General features: G+C 38.6%; 1 protein-coding gene across 46 annotated transcripts in view, besides 1 other annotated feature; it reads left to right on the top strand.

The window, feature by feature from the left end:
- RPS6KC1 (ribosomal protein S6 kinase C1) overlaps positions 1-26430 on the top strand; it is an 811495-nt gene that overhangs the window by 11698 nt on the left and 773367 nt on the right. For 21 of the 46 annotated variants that reach the window (XR_007058661.1, NR_146207.2, NR_146209.2 and 18 more), the window contains exons 2-3: positions 8068-8103; positions 14758-14878. Coding sequence is in view for 12 of the 46 variants with exons in the window: in XM_047417936.1 (XP_047273892.1) it covers positions 8068-8103; positions 14758-14878 (157 nt within the window). In the remaining 34 variants the exon portion in view is untranslated. Of the gene's footprint in view, positions 1-8067; positions 8104-9931; positions 10049-14757; positions 14879-25023; positions 25093-26430 lie in introns of all 46 variants that reach the window. The other 25 variants (NR_146210.2, NM_001349651.2, NM_001349660.2 and 22 more) reach the window with 5 other exon arrangements.
- Positions 7503-7802: an enhancer, noted in NCBI's record as "active region_2528". NCBI's record gives its function as "activates an Ori minimal core promoter by ATAC-STARR-seq in GM12878 lymphoblastoid cells {active_cell/tissue: GM12878}" and the evidence as "EXISTENCE:reporter gene assay evidence [ECO:0000049][PMID:35858748]".

A 26430-nucleotide genomic window follows, 5' to 3' on the forward strand; every position in this document is an offset into this window, starting at 1 on the left:
TTTCAGGGACCCAGTGGCAATGTGACCTGTTGATTATTATGGAACTGACCTAGGCCAAGCCTCACAGTCTGATCTTTGTTTTCAGAATAGGCAAGGGGGCTGACTTTGGGTCTTTTCTTTGTTTTTACTTTGTTTTAGTACTGAGCTGGCAGAAAAAGCAGTTCATGGGCAGTGCCAACACCATTATTCAGACCCCATTCTTTTTAGTTCCAAGCCCCTTGTTTATTTTCTGCTTTTCCAAAGTGGTTCTTCAATTTCTGTATTTTAGTTGACTTGTAAGACAAAGGGTTTACCTAACTGTAATGCCTATAGGCATTTTGTCAGAGATATTTTGTCAGGAATATTACCTGAATACTTGGAATTTTAATCTTGAAGAGAGCCAATTGGCTTATGTCCTGGAGAGAGCACTTTGGAGTCATGGAGTTGTGAGATCTGGTCCTGCCTCTGTTATTTGATTGAGTCTATTTTCTAGGTCTTTGGTTATCTCATCTTACCAAGCATGGTTGTAGTGATTATTGAATGAAGTAGAGTATTTAATTTCTTAGCACAATAAGAGATAGTTACTTTTGCTGTGAGACATTGTTTTTCTAAATTCATAATTTGCTGTTCATGAACAGAGGCAGATAGACTACAGAAATTGTGGTAGTATTTCTCTAGTGCTTCAGATTTTAGTAGGTGTTGTACTAAATAAATAATGAGGATGATAATAATAAATAACATAAAAATAAAAAATTGAGTGGCTAGATGTCTTTGGGAAATACTATGTATCTTCCTTTTGGGGATTTACTAGGCATATTAATGTATTAAAGGGTTTGAAGAATTCTGCTGTAAACAACATTCCTTCTTAAAAAGAGGTAAATTGAATTGATTATTAAGCCCTTCCTGTGAGATCACTGATTTTAAAGAATACTGGTATTCCATGTAACATGTTTTGTGAAGCACTGCTGTAGGGTAATACTTTTTTTTTTGTATTTTTAGTAGAGTGTAAGGTAATACTTTTTAAGATGAGTTGGTGATAAATTTCTAAAAAGCAAGAAGCATTTCAAGATATATAGGTAGTACTAACTGAATCAGTGGCAGTTAATGCTTGCAGTGGAAATTTCTGAACTTTATTTTTATTTTTATTTATTTTTTTTGAGACGGAGTTTCACTTGGTCACCCAGGCTGGAGTGCAATGGCGTGATCTTGGCTCTCTGCAACCTCCGCCTCTCTGGTTCGAACTGTTTTAGTGCCTCAGCCTCCTGAGTAGTTGGGACTACAGGCACATGCCACCACACCCGGCTCATTTTTGTATTTTTGGTAGAGGCGGGGTTTCACCATGTTGGCCAGGTTAGTCTTGAACTTGTGACCTCAGGTGATCCACCTGCCTTGGCCTCCCAAAGTGTTGGGATTATAGGCGTGAGCCACTGGGCCCGGCCAAATTTGTGAACTTTTTTTTTTTTTTTTGAGGGGTTGTTTCACTCTTGTTGCCCAGGCTGGAGTACAATGGCGCAATCTCAGCTCACTGTAACCTCCACCTCCCGGGTTCAAGCGATTCTCCTGCCTCAGTCTCCCTAGTAGCTGGGATTATAGGTGGATGCCACAAAGCCTAGCTAATTTTTGTATTTTTAGTAGAGATGGGGTTTCACCATGTTGGTCAGGCTGTTCTTGAATTCCTGACCTCAGGTGATCCTCCTGCCTGGGCCTCCCAAAGTGCTGAGATTACAGGTGTGAGCCACTGCGCCTGGCCTTTGTGAACTTTTTTTTTTTTTTTTTTTGAGATGGAGTCTTGCTCTATTGCCCAGGCTGGAGTGCAGTGGCGTGATCTCGGCTCACTGCAGGCTCTGCCTCCTGGGTTCATGCCATTCTCCTGCCTCAGCCTCCCGAGTAACTGGGACTACAGGCACCTGCCACCACGCCTGGCTAACTTTGTATTTTTAATAGAGACAGGGTTTCACCGTGTTAGCCAGGATGGTCTTGATCTCCTGACCTTGTGATCCACCCGCCTCGGCCTCCCAAAGTGCTGGGATTACAGGCGTGAGCCACCGTGCCCGGCCTTTTTTTTTTTTTTTTTTTTGAGACAGAGTCTTGCTCCGTTGCCCAGGTTGGAATGCAGTGGCGCGATCTTGGCTCACTGCAACCTCTGCCTCCTGGGTTCAAGTGATTCTCCTGCCTCAGCCTCCCGAGTAGCTGGGATTACAGACGTCTGCTACCGTGCCTGGCTAAGTTTTGTATTTTTAGTAGAGATGGGATTTCACCATCTTGGCCAGGCTGGTCTCGAACTCCTGACCTCGTGATCCACCCTCCTCGGCCTCCCAAAGTGCTGGGATTACAGGCTTGAGCCATCGTGTCTGGCCCTTTGTGAACTTTTAATGAAAACAGTCACTGTTTTAAATTCCAACTTTTGTGGAATTTATTGGTTGAACTTTGTGACAAACTCTCTTGAAATTTATCCAGAGAAAAATTACTGAGTTGCTAGCTCAGTTTTATTTATTGTCAGTATGGTTATATTCTTCCCTCAGATTTCTGATTGATACTCTTATTTTTCATTAACTTTTCAGTCACGGAAGATAATTACACAGAAAGAATTGTTACTCATGGATTTTTGCACTCAATTCACATTATCCTAGCCATTTTGTGGTTTTCGTTTCCGTTTTGGGGGACACATTTGTGAAGTATTTAAATGAGATGACACATTCGGGAATACTGAATCCCTAATAGTGGGGTACCAAGTGGTTGAAGTTGGTAATGTATTTGGGAAGTGATTGTATTTTTATAATGCAGTTGCGTAGGAATCAGACCTAGTATATTCTCCATTGTACTGCAGTACCTGGCAGCAGAGTAGGCACTAATATGTGTTGAATGAGTAGGTGAAATAAACAAAAACCTAATGGCGATGGAATTTTATGGAAATAAGTAAACTTCATTATTGCTGAAAATACCGCAGATAAATAGAGGGAGGCAGTGTAATAGAGTGGAAAGAGCAGTAGACCAGGAGTCAGACAGTCGAGGATCTCATTCTAAATTTGAAGGTGAATAGCCATGTGGCTTTAGACAGGACTCTGAACCACCTTGTTTTCTTATCTGTAAAAGGGGAAGTCATAATAGCTACTCCTGCCTAACTCATAGGTTGTTGAGAAAATGAAGTGATTCATTAATATAAAATTCTTCGCAAATGTAAATGTACAGAGTCAAATTTTCCCTATGCCTAGCGCAGTGCCTTGAACAGTATTAGCACAGATATAGACTGTTAATAATAAAAAGGAGGCTAAAAAACAAGAGTTTAAAACAATTCTTGGAGTGTTCACAGAATACCAGGGGGCAGAAGGATGAAGAATAACCTACAAAAGAGAAGCAAAAGCACCAAAGAGGAAAGAGAATCAGGGAAGTATAACCCTGTGCTTTTAAGACACAGTTTTCACTAAGCTTTAGGCTTGTCAGGTAATACCTAAGTAGCTTTTGATTTGATTTTCCAAACCCTGTCTAAATTTCCTCCTTCACTGTGAAGTATTTGGTGGGTACAGAGTAGTTCCTTTTGTAAGCCTAAAATTAAAGACCTTCACTTAGGTAGTTTAAGTATACTTCAACTTTGATTTTCTGTATATTGCATAATAATCATGAGTTACTGTTGTTACCAAAACACCAGGGGTTCCGTCTAGGTCCTGCTGCTTGTCACACAGAAAGCAATCTCTGAGACAATGAGTATTGCTAAGGAAGCCGGCTTTAATCAGGTGTTGCAGTCAAGGAGATGTCTCAGATCCATTTCCCTGACTGACTAAAATTAGGAGTTTATATAGCAGGGAGAAAATGTGATTATCTATGGGAAAACAGGAACTACAGAGGGTTAAGGAAGCAATTGTGATGGATGAGAGGTCTGGCATCTCATTGTTTGGATGCAGTGATCTGGTGAATTTCAGTTTATTTAATATTGTAAAAGGAAAATAAATCTTGAGGCCCCCAAATAACTAAGCTAAAGGTGAAAGTCAAGTTGGGAACTGCTTAGGGCCAACCTGCCTCCCATTCTCTTCAAAGTCACCCCTCGGCTCACTGAGATAACCATTAATACATACCAGATTGCCTCATTTGGAGAAGCGAATCAGAAACTCAAAAGGATACAGCCATTTGTCTTTTAACTACCTGTGACCTGAAAGCCCCCTCCCCACGTCGAGTTGTCCCACCTTTCTGGACTGAACCAGTGTACATCTTACACGTATTTATTCATGTCTTATGTCTCCCTAAAATGTATAAAATCAAGCTGTGCCCCTACCACCTTGGGCACATGTTGTCAGGATCTCCTGAGGCTGTGTTACCGGTGCGGATCCTCAACCTTAGCAAAATGAACTTTCTAAAGTAACTAAGACCTGTCTCAGATATTCGGGGTTCACAATATTAATACTTTTTGAGAGGCCTGAGGGCCCTTTCCTGAAGAAGGAACTCTGATAAAACAAATGTTAAGTTTCAAGCTTTAATACCAGAAGGGTCAGTTTCCATGTTTATCCAAAAAAACTGTCCGTGGGACCATTGGGTCAGTTTCACTTTTATTATCATGAAGACATTAAGAGCCTTACATCACTAAACCATGACTGGTTGACTGCTTTTGGGATGCCACTTTGCTCTGCACAGTGAGGATTCAGTGTCATGGGAAGGATCTAGGATGAAGTGTTTCCCAATCTTTTGCTTAGCACTCTACTGTTATCTGAGGTATGGAAATATGTTTGGGAAATACACCCTCCTTCACTCTGCACTCCCCTCCCACCCCACCACTGTGTACCACTAGACTATGAGCTCCAGGAGGAAAGGGACTTGCTCACCATTGTAATCCAGCACATAGATGTATGTAAACCACTAAGAGGACGGCTGAGAAATAATAATCAAATTGGTTATTTCTGATAAGATGGTTTTAATATTGTGGCTATTGTTAGGGGATGGCTAATGTGTTTTTGTTTATGCAGTACACATGTATTTGATTTCCAGGACTGGCTCATCTGAAGAAAACCAAAATGTGGTACTTCTAATATGTACACCAAACTAAGAAATAAGTTATTCTGTCTCAAAAAGATCATTTGCTTATATTAAGGAAGATTATTTAAAATACTTAAGATATCTGAATATATTTATAAATTCAGGAAATGTATTAAGCTGAGAAAAACATAAATTGTGAAATTTAAAGTACATTTGAATAGACCTTGCTGTGAGTGATCATGTGCTATTTTTGGGGGGTGGATTATTAGTGGATTGGTTATCCATGACTTTTCTTCTCAATACATTTCATAAAAATGTAAGAACGGCGGGGCGCAGTGGCTCACGCCTGTAATCCCAGCACTTTGGGAGGCTGAGACGGGCAGATCACGAGGTCAAGAGATTGAGACCATCCTGGCCAACATGGTGAAACCTTGTCTCTACTAAAAATACAAAAATTCGCTGGGCATGGTAGCACATGCCTGTAGTCCCAGGTACTCGGGAGGCTGAGGCAGGAGAATCACTTGAACACAGGAGGTGGAGGTTGCAGTGAGCCAAGATCGCGCCACTGCACTCCAGCTTGGGTGACAGAGCAAGACTCTGTCTCAAAAAAAAAAAAAAAAAAAAAAAAAAGAAACACTTATAAGAAGCAAAATTAGTCATACTATGTGAAATACTATACTTTTGGAAAGGTGTGTGAGGGGACAGGCTGGTATTTGAAAGTAATAGCTAAAATCAAAGATTTGAATAATGTATAGTTGTTAGTTACCTGTTATAGTCTCTTATACTGAATCTGTGTTGTCTAATTTGGTAGCCATTAACCACATGTAGCTATTTTGATTTAAATTTAAATTAAGGCTTACAGTGGTTCTCACTTATAATCCTAGCACTGTGGGAGGCTGAGGCGGGAGGATTGCTTGATCCCAGGAATTTGAGAGCAGCCTGGGCAACATAGGGAGACCCCCATCTCTACCAAAAAAAAAAAAAAGTGTATATATGTGTGTGTGTGTGTGTGTGTGTGTGTGTGTGTGTGTGTGTATGCCGACTGTGGTGTGCCTATAGTTCCAGCTACACAAGAGGCTGAGGTGGGAGGATCAGTTGAGTCCAGGAGTTTGAGGCTGCAGTGAGCTATGATCATGCCATGGCACTCTAGCCTAGGTGACAGAGTGAGACCCTGTCTCTTTAATACAAAAATTTTTTTGAATTAATTTAAATGAAATAAAATTAATGTAGTTTCTCAAAGTAGCCATATTTCAGTGGCTCAGTAGCCACACACATGTGGCTAGTGGTGGCTGTGTTGAACACTGCAAATAGAGAACCTTTTTTTCCGTTATCACAGAAAGTTCTATTGCATAGCACTGTAGTATAAATTAATGACAATTACTACAAGATTTCACCAAGTTTATATATTCTGAAAGTTGGAGAATAGAGTGCAAGATATTTGTTCTCTGGAATTCTTAGGTGGGACCTTTTACAATGGTTAACCTGTCTGGTAGGGGACAGGAAACTTTTAAATTATAGAGTTCTTGCTGTGTCCTTATTTGTTGTTCACAACAGCCAGGCCAGGCAGTTAGTATTATCTCCGTTTTATCGATGAGATCAAACCTGTAAGAGGAACTGTAATTTGAACCAAGGTTTGTCTGACTTTACATCCTCTATTTTTTGTTCTTATTTTGGACTTTAGGGGTGTTGCTGAATGGATTATAATCCCTAGTTCATGGTGTATTGTCATTAGATATCAAAGACCCTTTTCTTCCTCACACTCCTAGGCAACCATTTTAATGTGTGTTTGATTTATCTTTTTTTAAAATTTTTTTTAAAGTGAAAGCAAGTTTATTAAGAAAGTAAGGGAATAAAGAATGGCTACTCCATAGGCAGAACAGCCTGATTTATCTTTTTGTTTATTTTTGCAAAATACACCATTGTAGCTTCAAAACCGTTAATTTGACACTTACATGGATGGTACCGTATTATGTAATCTAATGTGAGATTTTCCTAATTTAGGATGCTGTTTGATGATTTAAACACCTAGCCTTTTCAAAAGTTTTGTGAAAAAAATCTTTTTACCTGGTGTTAGACTTTTTGGCCTTTGTCATCAGGGAAGTCTGAAGGAATCTCTCCTTTTCCTCTTTGCTTAGGGAGTATTGATAGAAGGATTATTTGTCCCTGAATGTTTGTAAATAATTTATATTACTTTTGTTTTCTTCATCATAGGTAGCCAGTGATTACTTCTCATACTTCTCACATGTTGTGTCCGAGCATTGTAGCTGCTTTTTTTTAATTGAAAGTTTTATTGTGCTAATTGTAGATTCATATACAGTTGTAAGAAATAATGTAGGGAGATCCCTTGTACACTTTGCCTAAGTGCAGCTGCTTTTTATGCTTCTAATTTGTATATAGGCTTGCTGGGAAGGGGAGATGTGAACAAACTTGTTAGAATTATGTTAATTAAGTAAGAGTAAAGGCCAGATGCTTTTTCTTAAGAATGTAGTGAATATATGAACTTTAGCATGTGGACTTACTTTTAGCTGTTTTTTTGCTTAATTTTTAGTATTGTTAAAATAACATTTTTAGCCAAATTAAATTTAACAGAGTTTAATTGAGCAAAGAATGATTCACAAATTGGTCAGCCTCCTCAGCCAGTGTAGGTCCAGAGAGACTCCAGCGCAACCATGTGGTGGAAGATTTATGGACAGAAAAAGGAAAGTGATGTACAGAAAAGGAAACTGAAACAGCTGTATTGGTTCCAACTAAGCATTTGCCTTATTTGAACACTGTTTGAACAGTTGGCTCTCTTTGGCCAAAACTTGGTGATTGGCGCCAGAGTAGGTTACAGTCTTTACACATCTATTTACATATCTATTTCTCTTTCATTATGTACAGAGAAACTTTTAGGCCAAACTTAAAATATGTAGCCTAAGGGAGGTAACTTTAGGTTAAACTTGATTTAACAGTATGAATTTCAGATAGTGAAGTTATTATATAGCTGAGTTTTGGATAAATGATATAGTGTTTATTTTTTTAAGCAAATTGAATTTTTCATACAAATACTATTGGAAGTTAATTATACAAATATGAAATCTTAAATTTTGATAATGATTAGAGATTTCTATGTATGTTTTGTTTTAGGTTGTTTCACGAAGAAATCCAGAGGATGTCCAGGAGGTAACATTTATATGAAGATTTTATTTTATGTATTTGATAAAAATTTAACTAAATGCTTTTTTGAGGAAATTGCCTGAATCATTTGTACATCAACCTCTTTTTTTTGAGACGGAGTTTCGCTCCTGTTGCTCAGGCTGGAGTGCAGTGGCGCAATCTCGGCTCACTGCAACCTCTGCCTCCTGGGTTCAAGTGATTCTCCTGCCTCTGCCTCCCGAGTAGCTGGAATTACAGGCATCTGCCACCACACTCAGCTATTTTTGTATTTTTAGTAGAGATGGGGTTTTACCACGTTGGCCAGGCTGGTCTCGAATTCCTGACCTCAGGTGATCCACCTGCCTCAGCCTCCCAAAGTGCTGGGATTACAGACGTGAGCCACTGTGCCTGGCCTGTACATCAGTCTTTATATGTTTGCGTGAAGATTGTCTTCATTTCACAAAACAGTAGCTGAAGTGTCCTATTTGAGACCTACTAAGTAATTGTTAAGTTTTAGTAGGTGTTAAGTTATATAAATAAGAATTTAATGAATTATGGTGCTGTTTACTAAGTGATCATTGTTCTGGTAACTAGTGTTTACAAGATTTCAGTATCACTTAAGGGCCCCTATTTACCCATTTCAAGATCATAATGCCTGTGTAATAAAAAGTATTTGGTAACTAATATTTATTTTAAAGATTCTAACAGTAAATTATGGGTCTCTGCCTACTTTCACTTTTAGATTGAATTGACATGTTGACATCTTGGAAAACTGCTTTAGGCATAGATATTTCTTTTTTTTTAAACTTTAAGTTAGTAAGTTCTTTTGCAGATTCTTCTGTGCATTTTTTCATTTTTTTTCCTTCTTTCTATAATGGTACCAGCCTGTTATGTTTTGCTTAAAATTGTGGAATTCTCTATTTGTATTTACTTTGTGCTTGTTGTGTATCTTTAGGAATCCTTACTGAGGAGCTTGCTGCTTTGAATGTTTCTTGATTTATTTTCATTTTAGTCCCTGCTCAATTTCACTAAGACTAGAAGGACATATATCAGGATTTTTTCCGCCTCCCTAATGTGTTTAAAACAGATACTTTAAGTTTACAGTCCTGATTCTGCAACAGTATTGTTTTTTTTTTTTCCACAATTAAATATGAATGTCTTTGGGTGGTAGGTTGTTTCTGTTTAGCCACGGGTCCCACTACTCTACAGAAAATACCTGGCTTGATTCATACATTTAAGGTGACTGTTTGGTACTGGTTGATATGAGTGTATGGCCCCAGGTTTAGATAATATTTAAATTTTATACATTATCATTTCTGGCTATGTCTGATTTCATAGTTGTTTTTGTCCTATGATTTAAAACAGATATATTTTTATACAAAAATTAGCTGGGCATGGTGGCAGGCACCTGTAATCCCATCTACTTGGGAGGCTGAGGTAGGAGAACTGCTTGAACCTGGGAGGCAGAGGTTGCAGTGAGCTGAGATTGCACCACTGCACTCCAGCCTGAGCAACAGAGTGAGACTCTGTCTCAAAAAAAAAAAAAAATAGATTTAATACTATTTTCCTGATGGGTTTTAAGACAATTCATTCCCTACCAGGAAACAGAAAGAATATTGTAATATTGTTATTTTGAAAGAAAAAAATGTATACATACATATATATGTATCAGTGAAAGTAATTTGCACCATTGATTAAAGTACTTTTCTGTCTTTACTTGTATCAATTGATGAGTGTGAACTATTCTTTAGATTTCTAGTTTACAACTCTTAAAATTGAAAATGGGTGTATTTCCTTTGAATGCATTGTCTGATTGCTGTGCTGTAGTTTGTAGCTTGATGTTCCCATTTTCCAGGGAGAATCCTGAACCAACCTATCCATGAACATACTCTCTGCCATTTTCTTAGTCCTTTTTTCGGGAAAACTCTTTTATAATAACAACTGTTGGTGAACCATTCATCTGAAAACTCTTGTAAGTGTCTTTTAGTTAGACAATTGCATGGTTCTTTGTTAGAAGTGGTATAAATTTTTAAAAGTTTTCTATTTAGTTGGCTTCTTAAAATATAGAATAATCTTGAAATTATAACAGTACTTTTTTTAGTTTCCCACTTAGTGTATTTAAACATTAGAATTCTCATTTGGGAGAGGAATTCACCACTTAGAGTTTGTTTTTCACTTCCTTTCACTTTCCCTCTCCATTAACTTATTCATTTGTTACTGCTTTAGACTATATAGTAAAGCTTCACAAGGGCTATTGAGGACTAGATGTACTGATAGTTTAACAAAATGTAGGGCTAGTAATACGCTAGCCTTATAAAATAGGAGAAATTTTGTTGTTTTTCTTTTATATATACCTTGGCACATGCCACCACATCAGTGTTTTCTTCCTAAGAATGCTAAAAGATCTGTGGCCTGTCATTCAGTAGATTGTGTAGAACATGAATAGACAGCAGAAAAGTGAAGAAGAGATGGTTTTGCTCCCCCTCACCCTTTTTTAAACAAATTAACCTGTACCTGTTTCTCTCTACAGGTAGGATATTTCACTGGTGAAATTTGGGAAAGGAAAAGAACTGAAACAGGACTTTCTATGTATTATGTCAGAAATCTCTAACTTTTAAATCCTTTTTTAAAAAATAGTTTTATTATTTATTTATTATTTATATTATTTATTTATTTCTTGAGATGGAGTCTCGCTCTGTCACCCAGACTGGAGTGCAGTGGCATGATCTTGGCTCACTGCAACCTCGGCCTCCCGGGCTCAAGTGATTCTCCTGCCTCAGCCTCCTGAATAGCTGGGACTACAGGTGCCCACCACCACACCTGGCTGATTTTTGTATTTTTAGTAGAGACGGGGTTTTACCATGTTGGCCAGGCAGGTCTCAAACTCCTGACCTCAGGCGATCTGCTCATCTCGGCCTCCCAAAATGCTGTGATTACAAGCGTGAGAAAAAATCATTTTAGAAAATAGGTACACACTCAGAAATATATCGGGAAAGGAAAGGCTCTTGAAAAGAGGGAAAATAAAATCCATAAGCAAATAGTGTGGTAGTGATGTTGGTTGTAAGAAGAGATAATCCAGCAAATTTTAAATATTAAAACTATGTGAGCGTGAAAAGGACAAAGTTAATTCAATTGGTGGTTCTGTAAAATACAGGAATCTAAAAAGTTTTTGGTGTTATTAAGTGTAATTATCTGAAAAGGAAACATTTATGTAGAAAATATTTAAGGGAATGTTTTTAAAATTAAGCTTTTATTTGTATGTTTTATATGGTTGTCACTGAATTAATATTTCATTGAGACATTTTCTTCAGAGTGACTTTAATAAATAAGAAACTTATGGAGACTTGGTTCAATAAAGAAAGAGGTTGTTATAGACCTATTTTTTCAATGGGAAAGTATTGAACATTAATTAGAGAAAATAATTTCTAAATGTGTCTCTGAGGACTTTGTGTAGTCCAGATATGAACATCAGTACTTGCTGTTGTAGTGGAAGTATATCTTTGTTCACTTTTGTATTTTGAAGATTTCTGGAAACCTCAGAACTTAGAAGGAGTAAGAAGAAAAGGAGGCAGTGGATGTGACATTTTGCGATGCTGTTAGGTATTTTGGTTCTGCAGCCCTAGAGTTGAGAAGAAGGAATATAGGATTGAATAAATTAGGGCATGGTGAAGAAACACAGATTCTCACCTGGGGGGTTCTAATTCTTGCTCTGACAGACTATCTACTGGTTCATATACCATGGTATTTTAATAATTATTATGATTAAATTGTTAAATTTTGCTCCTTAAGTTTGTCTTGCAGTATTTAAAAATGACTTAACTAGAATAAATTTTTTTTTTTTTTTTTTTTTTTTTTTTTTACGGAGTCTCGCTCTGTCACCCAGGCTGGAGTGCAGTGGCATGATCTCAGCTCACTGCAAACTCCGCCTCCCGGGTTCATGCCGTTCTCCTGCCTCAGCCTCCCTAGTGCTGGGACTTCAGGCACCCACCACCACGTCCAGCTAATTTTTTGTATTTTTTGTAGAGATGGGGTTTCATTGTGTTAGCCAGGATGGTCTCAATCTCCTGACCTCATGATCCGCCCGCCTTGGCCTCCCAAAGTGCTGGGATTACAGGCGTGAGCCACCACGCCCGGCCTAGAATAAAAATTTTATCTGCAAATCTAATTGTTTCCATGAGCTACAGTCTTTTGAATAACTCATGTCCAGGTCATAATGACCTTAACCTTACGTAATGTCCAGTTTATAATGACATTTACCTTATATAAGGTACTGCTTACATAAGCCCATCAACCATTTCTCCTTTAATTCCTTGGCAATGTCGTATGATTGTAATTTGATATATTTTTAAAATATAAAAATAACAATTTTTTGTTCCCATCATTTCATTGTTAGAATCCTCACATCTCACTGCGTATGCTGAGAAACCTTTCCTGAGTGATTACTGCCTATCTGCTACTGATCTTTTAATCTACAAGCTAATAGATCCTGCTCAGTTTTTGCTCTTCAACCCTAAACCTATCTCACTGAACAGCTCCAAGCAGCTCCCTCACGAGCTCCTAAGTCAAATGTGTTGAAAATTGAACCTCTTTCTTGCCTCAGAACTGCTGCTGCTTCCTTAGTGTTCACTTCAGGGCATGGCACCACCATTCTGTAGCAAAACTTGCTACACAGCTATTTATTCTTCAGTGTTCTTCAGTTTATTTATCATTTTAGGCAAATACTGAGTATGTACTTTTGTTTAAAAATTGCCTAAATTAATTGTCTTCATTTAGTAATACATACTTAGCATCTCACTCTTCTTTTAGAAACTTCACCCCCGGTGCCCTCCCCTTTTATTTTATTTTTGTCAGTCTACTGACCACTTCCCTTCAGGACTCTCTAAGGTAGTACTTTTTGTGAAGCCTTCTCAGACATACAAGGCTGATTTAGGTACTACATCTACAGCACTCTTGGACTGCCCCTCTCAGCATTTTTCAAGCCGTCTTATGATGATGTTGTCTTGTGATGTGTTGGCTTATTCTTCCTAACTAGACTGTGAACTCTTTGAAGGCAGGACCTGTATTTCCCTTCTCTTCATACTTTGTAAGAATATGATGCTTAGTGGAAAGTAGGGCCATAGAAATATTTGTTTGGTGACTCTTTTTGTTGTTGAGTAAATGAACAGGGAACATCAGGAGGAACAAGGGAAGCATCAGGAGGAAGCAGTTTTTAAAAATTAATTCATATTATAGTCTGCCTAGCCTCCTAGGATTATAACTGTATTAAAAACAATAAACATTAATTAAGGTAGAATTTTTGGCAGCATGAAAAAGTTTGCTGAAGAGTTTTATACATACAGAGGGTAGGTTTTTTGGCAGGAATCTCTTAAATCACACCTGGTTACCTGCTTGACCTGTTATTTGCTCATTAGCATTATACTCTATTGTATATGAAAAACTTGTTAGAAAACTTTGTTAGAACTGAGATGATTAAGTTTTTCAGAAGACCCCAGTATCTGAAGTAATGGGATTTAAAACTCAATTTTACTCTATTTTCTAGAGATTGAGGGGCTGAATCTGTGATATCAAGGCCATGTTTCAAATCCTTTTTCTTTACAAAGTGGTTTTTTTTTTTAGATATAATCTGAGTAAGGTTAAATAATAATTCAGACTAATGAAGGAAAACACACTTTTTTACATGTCGTCTAATCTAGATGATATTTTGTTTTTTAAAAATATACTAATTTTAATGATGTTCTGGTCAGGATTCAGCTTGCCTGCAGACATCTTATTACTAGTGTGAATTAAGATTTATGACATGAAAGTCCATGTTAATTGCTTGCTGCATAGCTACTTCTTCAGTGTTACTCAGTTTATCCTTTTTTTTTTTTTTGAGACAAGAGTCTTACTCTGTTGCTGAGGCTGGAGTGCAGTGGCACTGTGTCGGCTCACTGCAACCTCTGTCTCCTGGGTTTAAGCAGTTCTCCTGCCTCAGCCCCCCGAGTAGCTGGGATTACAGGCGTCCACCACCACACCCTGCTAGTTTTTATATTTTCAGTAGAGATGGGGTTTCACCATGTTGGCCAGGCTGGTCTTGAACTCCTGAGCTCAGGTGATCCACCTGCCTTGGCCTCCCAGAGTGCTGGGATTATAGGCGTGAACCACTGCGCCCGGCCAGTTTATCCTTTTAGGCAAATACCGAGTATGTACTTTTGTTTAAAAATTGCCTAAATTAATTATTTTGTCTTTATAAATACATTATTTTGAGAAAGGATACATGTTTTGACATCTAACTCATTTGCAGGCCAATTGTAATTGGTTTTTGAAGAGATGAAGTGACATTTTATATAGTATAAATCTTCTCCATACTGGGTTGAATATTTTTCCAGTATGAATAAAACCATACTTGTTTAAAATGAAAATTTGAAACCAAAACAGAATAGTTTGAGGAAGAATTGCCGCTTTATATGTAATATATTTTTACTTTATTTTATTTTATATTATTTTCCTGGTCAGCAGGAATCTGCCTTATATTTTTAAAGCAAATATTATTAGTTAATTTCAGTCAGTTAATCATATTGTTTAGGACATGTGTTTGCCTTTGCATGACAATTTTGAACACTTTAATGAAAGGATTATTTGTTGTTCAGATATCTGAACCTAAATGGTTATGAGATACATGTTTAATTTTTTTCTCTCTAGATAATTGTATGGAAGAGATACAGTGATTTTAAGAAACTACACAAAGAACTATGGCAAATTCACAAAAACTTATTCCGACATTCAGAGTTGTTTCCTCCATTTGCTAAAGGAATAGTGTTTGGTAAGTGATTATTTTGAAATTGTAATTTAAAAAAATAATTAATTTTGTATATATACTGAACTCTAACATAACTACACTATGAAGTCAGAAGCCCTTTTACTTATTGAGATAATTCATATTGTTCAACAGCACTTGAAATTGTCTTTTCTTGTTCTTGTTATAGTTTTGTGTACCCAGAATATATTTACTCTTCCTATCTATGAAACAAAACAACTTCAGTTCCAACCAACCAAATAAAAAACCCTGTAGGAACATAAGAAAAGGTGATATTCAGTTATTCTTATAGTTTTAAAATTCTTTCTTTTTTTAAATTAAGTCTCATTTTGTATGTTTCCCTGACACTTTGCTTATAGTATGAATGGTGTGGTTTTCTAGTATTTGCTTCTTGCAACTTCTTTTTGATACCTTAGTATTCTTTTTTTTTTTTTTTTGCCTCATCAGTTTTCAAATACCTAGGTAACAGTATTTTATATTAAAGTTTCTGTGTCAAAATAATTGGTGTAGTTTCTGTCCCCTGTCTGGATTTTGACTGGAAGTATAGAATATTCATGTTTTTTTTCTATAACTCTAACGTAAATGTTCTTATATGGACAGAATTTTTTTGAAATGGAGTCTCATTCTGTCACCTAGGCTGGAGTATAGTGGCACGATCTTGGCTTACTGCAGCCTCCACCTCCTGGGTTCAAGTGATTCTCCCGCCTCAGCCTCCTGAGTAGTTGGGATTACAGGCGTCTGCCACCACACCTGGCTAATTTTTGTATTTTTAGTAGAGATGAGGTTTCACCATGTTGGCCAGGCTGGTCTCAAACTACTGACCTCAAGTGGTCCGCCCGCCTTGACCTCCCAAAGTGCTGGGATTACAGGCATGAGCCACTGTGCCCGGGCCAGAACATTTTATCCTATTACTTTTTGCAACCAATTTCTGCATATGTAATTGCAGAGTCAAGGTATATGCACATTTATTTTTCAAACTAGACAATTTTTTTTCAGGTTATGAAAGTAGTATATGCAAATAACTCAGGTGGTACAGAAAAATACTTAAAACGTAAAGAGAAATTCAGCAATAATACCATCTCCTAGATAGTATAATATTTTGGCATATTATTCTAGACTCTGTATCAGTGTGTGTGTATGGTGTATTTTTGTGCTTATTAATATGTATATGCCTTTTTACCCATCTATGTATAGAAACCTCAAAAATGGAATCTTGCTATGTATGATTTTGTAACCTGGTTTTATATAACAGTATATATATTTTTTCTTTATTTTTTATATGACAGTATATTATGATTGTCTTTTCATGTCAATAAAAAGATCTACATTACTAATTTTAATATGTACATAGTATTCCAGTTTTTGAACTGATTTATTAACCAATCTTTTACTGGTATATTACTTTTGGCCTTTTGCTGTTACAAATAACACTGCAGTTACTATTCTTGTTCATACATTACTGTGCAGGTGTACAGTAGGGTGAATTCCTGGGAGAAGAATTACTCAGTCAAGGGGTCTGCATATTTTTGAGACTTTTGATGCATATTGTCTCATTGTTTTAAATAATTGTAACATCATTTTCCTTTATACATTGGAATAACTTTTAAATTATTATTATTATTTTTTGAGACAGAGTATCACTCTGTCACCTAGGCTGGAGTACAGTGGTGTGATCTTGCTCACTGTAGCCTTGACTTCCTGGGCTCAGGTGATTCTCCTTCCTTGGCTTCCCAGGTAGCTGGGACCATAGGTGCACACCACCATGCCTGGCTAATTTTTCTATTTTTTGTAGAAATGGGGTTTCACCACATTTCCCAGGCTGGTCTTGAACTCCTGGGCTTAAGTGATCTGCCTACCTCAGCCTCCCAAAGTCCTGGGATTACAGTTGTGATCCACCGCGCCTGGCAGATAACTTTTAAAGAGGCATGTGGCTAAGTAAAATAAAAACAAAACACAAAGGTAGTATTGAAGAATGCACGATAAAAACAAGTTTCCTGCTCCTTCCCTCCACCTACTTTTGCTTCTAGACATAACTGAATTTTAATCCTTTTTTTTCAAGTACTTATATCTGTATCTGTAATAAGCTTATACCATTTTTTCTTTTTTTCTTTTTTTTTTTTTTTGAGATGAAATTTCACTCTTGTCACCCAGACTGGAGTGCAGTGGCGTGATCTCGGCTCACTGCAACCTCTGCCTCCTGGGTTCAAGTGATTCTCCTGCCTCAGCCTCCAGAGTAGCTGGAATTACAGACACCTGCCACCACGCCTAGCTAATTTTTTGTATTTTTAGTAGAGACAGAGTTTCGCCATGTTGGACAGGCTGGTCTTGAACTCCTGACCTCAGGTGATCTGGCCTCCTTGGCCTCCCAAAGTGCTGGGATTACAGGCGTGAGCCACTGCGCCTGGCCCATTTTTTCTTGATTTAACAACTTTTACGTATCTATTGACTCACTACTCTGGTGGGTAAGGATTTAGCTTGTTTACCCTGTTTCTCTGTATTATTACATAATATTTTTAGTTCTTCTGTTGACTTTATTTCTCGTTCTGTAAGTGTGGACAATATCATTTGTCTAAGATGATTCTAATAGCATTTTTGATCTTCCTCCTACCTCTTCAGCTCTCTTCACCACTTAACATTTGAAATCTGTGCTTATAGTTTAACATTTGTCAAAGGTGGTAATATTTATATTCTCTTTAATAGTCATAATTAAGCTCGTAATGTATAGAATAATTCTCAAAGCTAGAATGTAATAAACATCATTTATAAAATTATTATTTTTTGAGACAGAGTCTCACTCTGTCACCCTGGGTGGAGTGCAGTGGTGCAGTCCCACAGCCTCCATCTCCTGGGCTCAAGCGATCCTCCCACCTCAGCCCCCCGAGTAGCTGGGACTATAGGCACATGCCACCATGCCAGTCTAATTTTTGTAATTTTTGTAGCAACATGTTTTCACCATTTTGCCCAGGCTGGTCTTTAACACCTGTGCTCAGGCAATCCTCCTGCCTCAGCCTTCCTAAGTGCTGGGATTATAAGCGTGAGCCACCGCACCCTGCCTTATTAACGTTATTATGACAGAGCAAATATTGTTCATTATAACACCAGGTGGTATACCACAATTACATTTTGTTCTGCAAGGTTCAATTGTTACAATTACTGTGCCAACATAAGAAAAATGTGTAAGTGAAGTCTCTGTTTTCCTTATACTACATCAGGGAATTGAAATCATGCCACATTTTAGTTTGCTAAATATTTGGACCATGCCTTTTGTGATAGCCAGCCTCCAAGATAGCCTCCTATGATTCTTTTCTCCTGGTATTCACACCTTTGTGTCTTCCCTTCTGTCTTAGTCTGTGTAGTGTTGCTACAAAGGAATACCCGGGGCTGGGTAACTTATAAAGAAAAGAGGTTTATTTGGCTCATGGTTTTACAGGAGATAAAAGATGCATGGGGCCTCCATCTGCATCTAGGAAGGACCTCAGATTGCTTCCACTCATGGCAGAAGGGGAATGAGAGGCCACCACATGACGAGAGAAGGAAACGAGAGAGAGGAGGAGGTGCCAGGCTTTTTCCAACAGGTTTAGTTCACGGGAACTAAGAGTGAGAACCAGCAAGCCACTCATGAGACATCCATTCCCGTGATCCAAACACCTCACACCAGGCCTCACCTTGAACGTTGGGGATCAAATTTCAACATGAGACTTGATGGGGTCAGACACACCATATCCAAACCATAGCACCTTCCCAGATTGTACTAGGGTTGGTCTGTGTGACCAATAACAAAAGTGATGGTATATCTCATTCCTGAGATTTATTTATAAAAGACTGTGGCATCTCTCTTAAGGTTTTTTTTTTTTTTTTCCTTTCTCTTTCTCATAACTTGCCCTGAGGGATACCAGCTTTTCCTATGGTTAAGAACATTCTGGTAGCCTATGAAGAGGCCCACATGGTGAGGAACAGGGGCATCCAGCCAAAAACTAGTAAGCATGAAGCCTGCCACAGCCATGTGAATGAACTTAGGAGCAGATTCTCCAGTCCCAGTTGAACTTTGAGATGACTACAGCGTTGAATGACAGTTAACAGCAATTTCATGAGGGGCCTGAGCTAGAGCCACCCAGCCAAGCCACTTTTGAATTCCTGACCCTCAGAGACTGAGTGAGATAGTAAATGTTTCTTGTAAGCTACCATGTTTTGGGATAATTTGTTACCCAGCAATAACTACTTAATAGACTTTGTAACAAAACTGAAAATGTGGAGTGGTTTTGAAATGAGCTATGGGCTTTGAGGAGTGTTGGTGAGTGCCTGAAGTGCCTTGAAGAAGTGATTAATTGGGCCCGGCACGGTGGCTCATGCCTGTAATCCCAGCACTTTGGGAGGCGTAGTCGGGCAGATCACGAGGTCAGGAAATCGAAACCATCCTGGCTAACACATTGAAACCCCGTCTCTACTAAAAATACAAAAAAGAAAAAAAAAATTAGCCAGGCGTGGTGGCAGGTGCCTGTAGTCCCAACTACTCAGGCGGCTGAGGCAGGAGAATGGCATGAACCTGGGAGGCAGAGTTTGCAGTGAGCTGAGATCGTGTCACTGCACTCTAGCCTGGGCGACAGAGCGAGACTCCATCCCAAAAAAATAAATAATAAAAAAAAGTAGTGATTAGTTGGAGCCTCATGGTATTCGGTAAGACTGCAAGTGAGGTTTCCCAAAGAAGTTAGGTAAGTGTTACTGGAAACTGGAGGGAAGATCCCTCTTATGTAGTTGCAGAAAGTTTAGCAACACTGTTGCCTACAGTTATGTGGAAAGTTGAAAATGTACTTTGCAAATGAACTGGGTAAGCTAGCTGAAGAGATTTCCACCCAGAGTGTTTACAGTATGGTGCTTCTTGCTGCTCATAGTAAAATGTGAAAGGAGAGAGAGAAACTAAAGGAAGGATTGTTAAACAAAAAGGTCCTAGGACTTGTTTTGAAAATGCTATCTTTCTGGATAGCAGAGAGTACTAAAATTAAGAAATGACTTCTGAGCAAATATGGCCTAAAGATGAAGCCCAGTGTGAAATAAAATGTTTTTTAAGACCTTAGAAAGATTCAGTCAGACCAAATGCTCTCAATAAAGATTAAGGTTGTGCCTTACACATCCTCTCAAATAGTAGGGCTTCGTGGAAGTGTAAGCCTCTGCCAACTCAGCAGAAGCCAAAGCTACAGAAGGGTTTAACTTGAGATTTGTGGCTATCACTTTTGTTTAATTGAGTAAACCCCAATAAGAGTCACAGGTGACCCCCCCACAAAAAAGTTATAAGTAATTATATATGCAGAAACATTGTTAGCTTGGACTGACAAGCAGAAAAGCAGTACAAAGTGAAAAGAGACTTTTGTCTCCCCCAAATTTTACTGGAAGGAAGGCTAAAAACAACCACGAAGCCACACACCTTGCTGTTTTTCACCGAAAAGGAGGTATGACTCAGAGGGTGGAACCAGTAGCTCAGAGGGCAGAGCCATAGCCTTGGAGAATTTATTCCCAGCCTGTGAGCCTTAATCAGAAACTTCCAACATTTGCCCTGCTGGATTTCAGAATTACTATGGACCCATTGACTTCTTTGGGGCTCGCATTTACTCCCCTTTTTGTACAGGAATGTCTATAGCAGTTATTCCATGCCTATCCCACTATTGTGTATTGAGTGGGTAGAGGGGAGGTAACTTGTCTATAGTTTCACAGGTTAGGAAGATTGTACTTAAGGAGCTACACTTAGGGAACGACACCTGAAGAACCTCAGTCACACGTGGATGTGACTTAGATGAGATTCTAGACTTTGAATTGCTGCCATAATGGGATGAGACTTTTGGGGACCTTGGGAGGAGGGTGAGGAGATCTTGTATGTGGGAGGGGTGTGAATCTTTGAGGCCAAAGAGAGGTCTGTGTTGGCCAGCTTCCAAGATGGCCCCCAGTGGTCCCTGTCTCCTGGTGTTTATGTTCTTGTGAAGTCCCTTCCCACACTGAACCAGGATTAGTCTGTATGACTGTTAGCATATGCAGAAGGGATGGTATATCACTTCCAGGATTAGGTTATAAAAAAGACTGTAGCTTCCATCTTGTGTGCTCATGCTCCCACCTCCCCTCCATGTGTCGTTACATGTTTTGGGGAAACTGGTTGCTTTATGGTGAGAACACTCAGGCAGCCTGTGGAGATGAGGGATGTTTCAAACTTACAGAAAGTTGCAAGAAGAAGAATAGTACAAGAACACCTCTATACTTTCCAACCAGATTCACTTATTGTTAAGCTTTTATCCCATTTACTTTATCATTTGCTGGTGTCTCTCTCACTCTTTCTCCTTCCCTCTCTCCCTTTCCCTCTCTTCCTCTGTCTCCTCTCTCTCTCCCTCTTCCCCTTTCTCCCCCAGCACACACATATAAAATATATGCACGTAATTTTACATTATTTTAAGTTTTAATTTCTTAACTTTTCTTTCTTTCTTTTCTAACTTTTTTGAGACAGGGTCTCACTTTGTTGTCCAGGCTGGAGTGCAGTGTCACAGTCATGGCTCACTGAAGCCTCGACTTCCCAGACTGAAGTGATCCTCCCACTTTAGCCTCCCTAAGTGCTGGGATTACAGGTGTGAGCCACCACACCTGGCCATAATTTTTTAATGAGCTATTCCAAATTATATTCCAAATTTCATGTCCCTTTACTCCTAAGCACTTCAGTTCTTCACTAAGAATAGGGATATTGTATTACATCAATGGAGTTCAGTTATCAATTTGAGTAAATTTAATATTGATACAATACTTTGATATAATCTACCATCTGTATTCCACTTTTGTTAGTTGACCTTTTAATATCATTTTTCTTCTCTCTGGGATAGGATCCATTCTAGGATTGGTATTTTATTTAGTCACTGGAATGTTAATATAGCCGTTTTTTGTTTTCATTATATTGGCATTTTTGAAGAATACCTTCTGCCTCTCTATCCATATCCCTTTCCCCCTTTTTAAAGAGAACGATTCTCATTTTAGGTTCTCTGATGTTTTCTCATGTTTAGTTCTAGGTTATGAATTCTTCCTGGCTGGATACTGCATAGGTGTCCTCAGAGTATCTCATCTGAAGGCACATGATGTCTGTCTGCCCCTTATTAGTGATATGAATTTGTGTCACCTGGTCAAGGTATTGTCAAGCTTTTCCACTGTGTTAGTTTCCTGGGGCTGCCATAACAGATTACCATACACTTGGTGGCGTAAAACAATGGAAATTTATTTTCTCACAGTTATGAAGGCCAAAGTCTGAAATTGGTATCACTGGGCTGAAATCAAGGTGTTGGCAGGGATGCTCTCTTTTCAGAGGAGAGACACTGTTCCTTGCCTCTTTCAGCTTTTCGTAGCTGCCTATGTTCCTTGGCTTGTGGCAGCATTACTTTAGTCTTCAGGGTCCTCAACTTCAAACCTCCCTCTGTTCCATCTTCATATTTCCCTCTTTGTGAAATTGCCCTCGACTCTCTTATAAGGACACTTGTGAAGCATTTAGTGCCCATCCAGATAATCCAGGATAATATCCCCATCTCAAGATCCTTCATCATATCTGCAAAGACTCTCTAAATAAGGTAACATTTACAGGTTCCAGGGATTAGCTTTAGGGAACCAGTTTTCAGACTACTACACAATGTATATTCATTTTTTTTTCTTTCTTGAAGCTAATAAGTAACCTTTGGGTAGATATTTGTAAGATCATGAAAACAAAATTATCCCCTGGATTTAGCATCCATTGATGATTCTTGCCTGACTCAATGTTTATATAATAGTTACAAAATAATGATTTTCCAATTCCTGTACCTCTCCACCTTTGCTGTTACCCTTCCTTCTCCCTTTATCTGTGTCTCTTTGTTTATGCATCTACGTTTCTCTGTGTATCTATAGAGCTGTGTATCTGTGTCTGTATATCTATATATTGTATCCATGAATCTGTCCATCTATCCCTAATTGATCTGGACTCACATATCTTTTTTTTCTAGTAGTTTAGAATGCATTAATACATTTAATTATTTTGATTCACAAATTGTCCCAGCTTTGATCAGTAGGAGCCCTTTTAAGCTGGATTCTGTGTCCTTGTAACTTCCTCTCATCCTATTTTCTTTTTTTTTTAATTTCAGCACTTGTTATTTTTAGGCATAACAAGATGTTCAGTGCTCATCTTGAATTTATTCTGCTCCTGCCCTGAAATCTACCATTTCTTCAAGGAACCCTAGTTGCTTTTTGTGGATAATGGTGTTAAAGACTATGCTGCTTCTCAGTTTATTGTATTTTAGCTCCACATCCATCCTTCATTGCTTTGTCAGATCTCCTTTTCCAGCTGGTATGGATGAGCTTAGTCAGTAGAAGGTGTTGGAAGGACACTGTAGGAAGTAGGGTTTTGGTGTGCTTCCGTTCCTATTTGCTCTGTGCTGCCAGTGGCATGTGTGGGATGCCTAGTGGTACTCATCCCCTAGGAAATTTTGTTGTCAGTTACTGCCTGCGGCTCCTTGCCTTTCAGCCTGGATCTGCTGGCACCACAACAGAGCTTCCTGCTTGCCAGTCTCAGCCTGTAGTTCCTTGCCCATGAAGTTTGACCCTCCTACTATCATATTAGAACAGCTATGTCAGGGACAACCAGTGGGTTACAGCCACATTGCCTCCAATGAGATCTGAATTCCAGCCTTGGCAAGGAGGCACCTCTTTCAGGTATTTCCTTTGGTTTTCCTCCTCAATCTAGGCATTCCTAAGAGTTGTCTTTTATTTCTTCTTAGTAGTTAATTCTGGGTAAATAGTTAATAATTCTTTATAAGACTCCCTATTTAAATTGCTGTATGGATTTCATTTTCTGTCCAGACCCTGGCTGCTACAGAGATCACTATCTGGACAGTAGGTATGCTTCTTGCAACTTACATCTAAGCTTTTTTCAACAGCCAGAGATAGGAAATGTAATACATTTATCTATATGCATAGGTATAATGCACACATTTATACATACCTCTAATCATTTGCAAACCTGCATATATATATGTATATGTGCACGTGTATTATATAGATATACATATATTTTAGAATTGTTTATAATACCTTTAGTGAAACAAAATTTTATATGTTCAATTATATATTTAGTTCTCTTTGTACTCTCCTCCCACCTCCTGGTTTTGGGTTTCTGGTCTTGACTAGAAATGTCTCCTAATGCCTACCTGTTTTACAAGATGATTATTATAGTACTAGTTAAAAAAAAAGTTTAAAAAATAATTCTTGAGGAATTTATATTTGAACAGGATGTCAGATGATGTTTCACTTTACCTTTTTTTTTACAGATGAAATGGACTTATAAGATCACTTGTTAGATAACCCACCTTTTTCTCAATGAAGTTGAATTATTATCTTTGTTATGTATAGACTTCATGTGAGTTTTCACTAATTAAGGATTTTCTCTTTTGTGGCATTTATTTGTCTATTCTTATATAAATACCTATGTCTATATCACATTGATTTTTATGCAGCGGCTTTACAGAGTATGTTCTGATAGCTAATACCAGCTATATTTCTTATCAACATTGGGGAAATTATTGCCTTTCAAGATCAGCCTGGAGTTCCTGGGGCTCTTACAGTGATAATTATTGGTTCTAAGAGGCTGTGCCAGTTATCCCTTTATTGCTTCTTAGCTTCAAATCTCTTTCTTCATTTCCTCCTTGGTTAATGGGTAGGATTCTTTCAGTATTTTTTCTTTATGGTGAATACACTGTTAAGCTTAGCAACGGAGGGCACTCCATTTCAGGAGTATAGGGGGCTTGTCTTCCTTCTTCCAGTATCCTATGGATTTTGTTTTTTCTTGCTCTTTTTGCATTGTTGCCAGAGCCATTCTGCCTTGGCCACACAATCTCTTGATAAGCTTGCAGGCTCAGCCAGTTTGGTGATCACCTAGCTAAGGACACCAAGGTGCCGCAGTCCTATTGGAGACTGAGTTTCTAACTCTCTGGCTCCTTCTGTGTACCCGGAATTTGTCTGTGTATCTGCCCCTCAGCTTTGGCCTGCTAGCACCCTGCAGAGTTGTTTCCTGTGTCCCTTGTTCCCCCTCCCTGCCAACACATTTTGGACTCTAGACCTGGTTGCCCTCCTGGAGAGTACGCTCCTAATAACCCCCTCTCCTTCTACAGGCCTGTCTGCTAGCCTTGGTCTGCTTTAACCCCAGAAAGTTGTTTCCTATGGTCTTCCCACTGCAGATGGTAGGTACCCCAGGACTTGCATTACCTTGCTGGTGAGTTGGTTCCTCATACCATGACTGTGTGCTCACCTGTCAGCCTTGGCATGCTTGAATTCTGGAGGAGTCTTTCCTGTTCTTCTGGCAACTGTGGTTCAACGATGGCCCAGGGAACCTAGCAAACTTTTTTTCCATCCAATGGCTGCAACCCAACCACACCTTCTCTACAGAGATCCGAATCCCAGCCTTGGAGAAGAGTTCCCCTTTCTAAGTTGTTCCTTCTTTGGGTATTCTCCCTCACCCTAGGATATTCTTCAGAGTTCTCTTTTTACCTTTATTGTTACTCCACTCTCATGGCTAATAATTTTTTTTTTTTGAGATGGAGTCTTGCTCTGTTGCCCAGGCTGGAGTGCAGTGGTGTGATCATGGCTCACTGCAGCCTCTACCTCCGGGTTCAAGCGATTCTCCGGCTTCAGCCTCTTGAATAGCTGGGATTACAGGCTACCATGCCCAACTAATTTTTGTATTTTTAATAGAGATGGGGTTTCGCCATGTTGCTCAGGCTGGTCTCGAACTCCTGAGCACAAAGTGATCTGTCCGCCTCAGCCTCCCAAAGTGCTGTGCTGGTATTACAGGCATGAGCCACTGCGCCTGGCCTCATGGCTAATTTTTTTTATATTAAACTTTTCCCTGTTCAAATTACTGTGTGGCTTCTGTCTCTTGATTGAACCCTATATTGATACTCTGATTTAGGAAGAGTTCTGAATGATCTGAAGTAATTCTGAATGACCTGTTTCCATTGGCTGGTAGTCTACATGGAACAGGGGTTTCTCCAGGCTGATTATAGGATTACAGTATTCACTGAACTTGACACTTGCTTCCTCAGTACGTTTTACATTTCACGCCTACTTGAGATTTGGGGACAAGATACAGAGAATCTCACATAGTATAGCAACATCAGTGGCATTTGTGCCAGAATGAAGTGATCATCAAAAGCTTATTGCTACTATTCTTTAATTTTAACAAATATTTAATAGTAACAATTTATGATTTTTTAATATCTTGAGATATATGTAATAGAGGTAACTTGGGCACATAATAAAAAGAAAAACATTTTTATTTTCTTATGTGAAAGCAATTGAGGGATGTGGGCAACAGGTCAATAGCAATAGAACCATTAGTTCTGATGATGGGTCTTCAATCCATTCTGTTCCCCTACCAAGCATTTGGGAGTTCATGAACTCTTACCGTTGTAGGCTGTTAGCATGTGACTGCCTGCTTTTGGCCTTTGACCTTATATTCCATGGTGCTTCACATTTCTGTTGTTTTCTCTTTACAGTTACTATTCAATATCAATGGTTCC

This window comes from Homo sapiens, chromosome 1 (assembly GCF_000001405.40).
Source record: "Homo sapiens chromosome 1, GRCh38.p14 Primary Assembly".
Taxonomy (NCBI): Eukaryota; Metazoa; Chordata; class Mammalia; order Primates; family Hominidae; genus Homo; species Homo sapiens.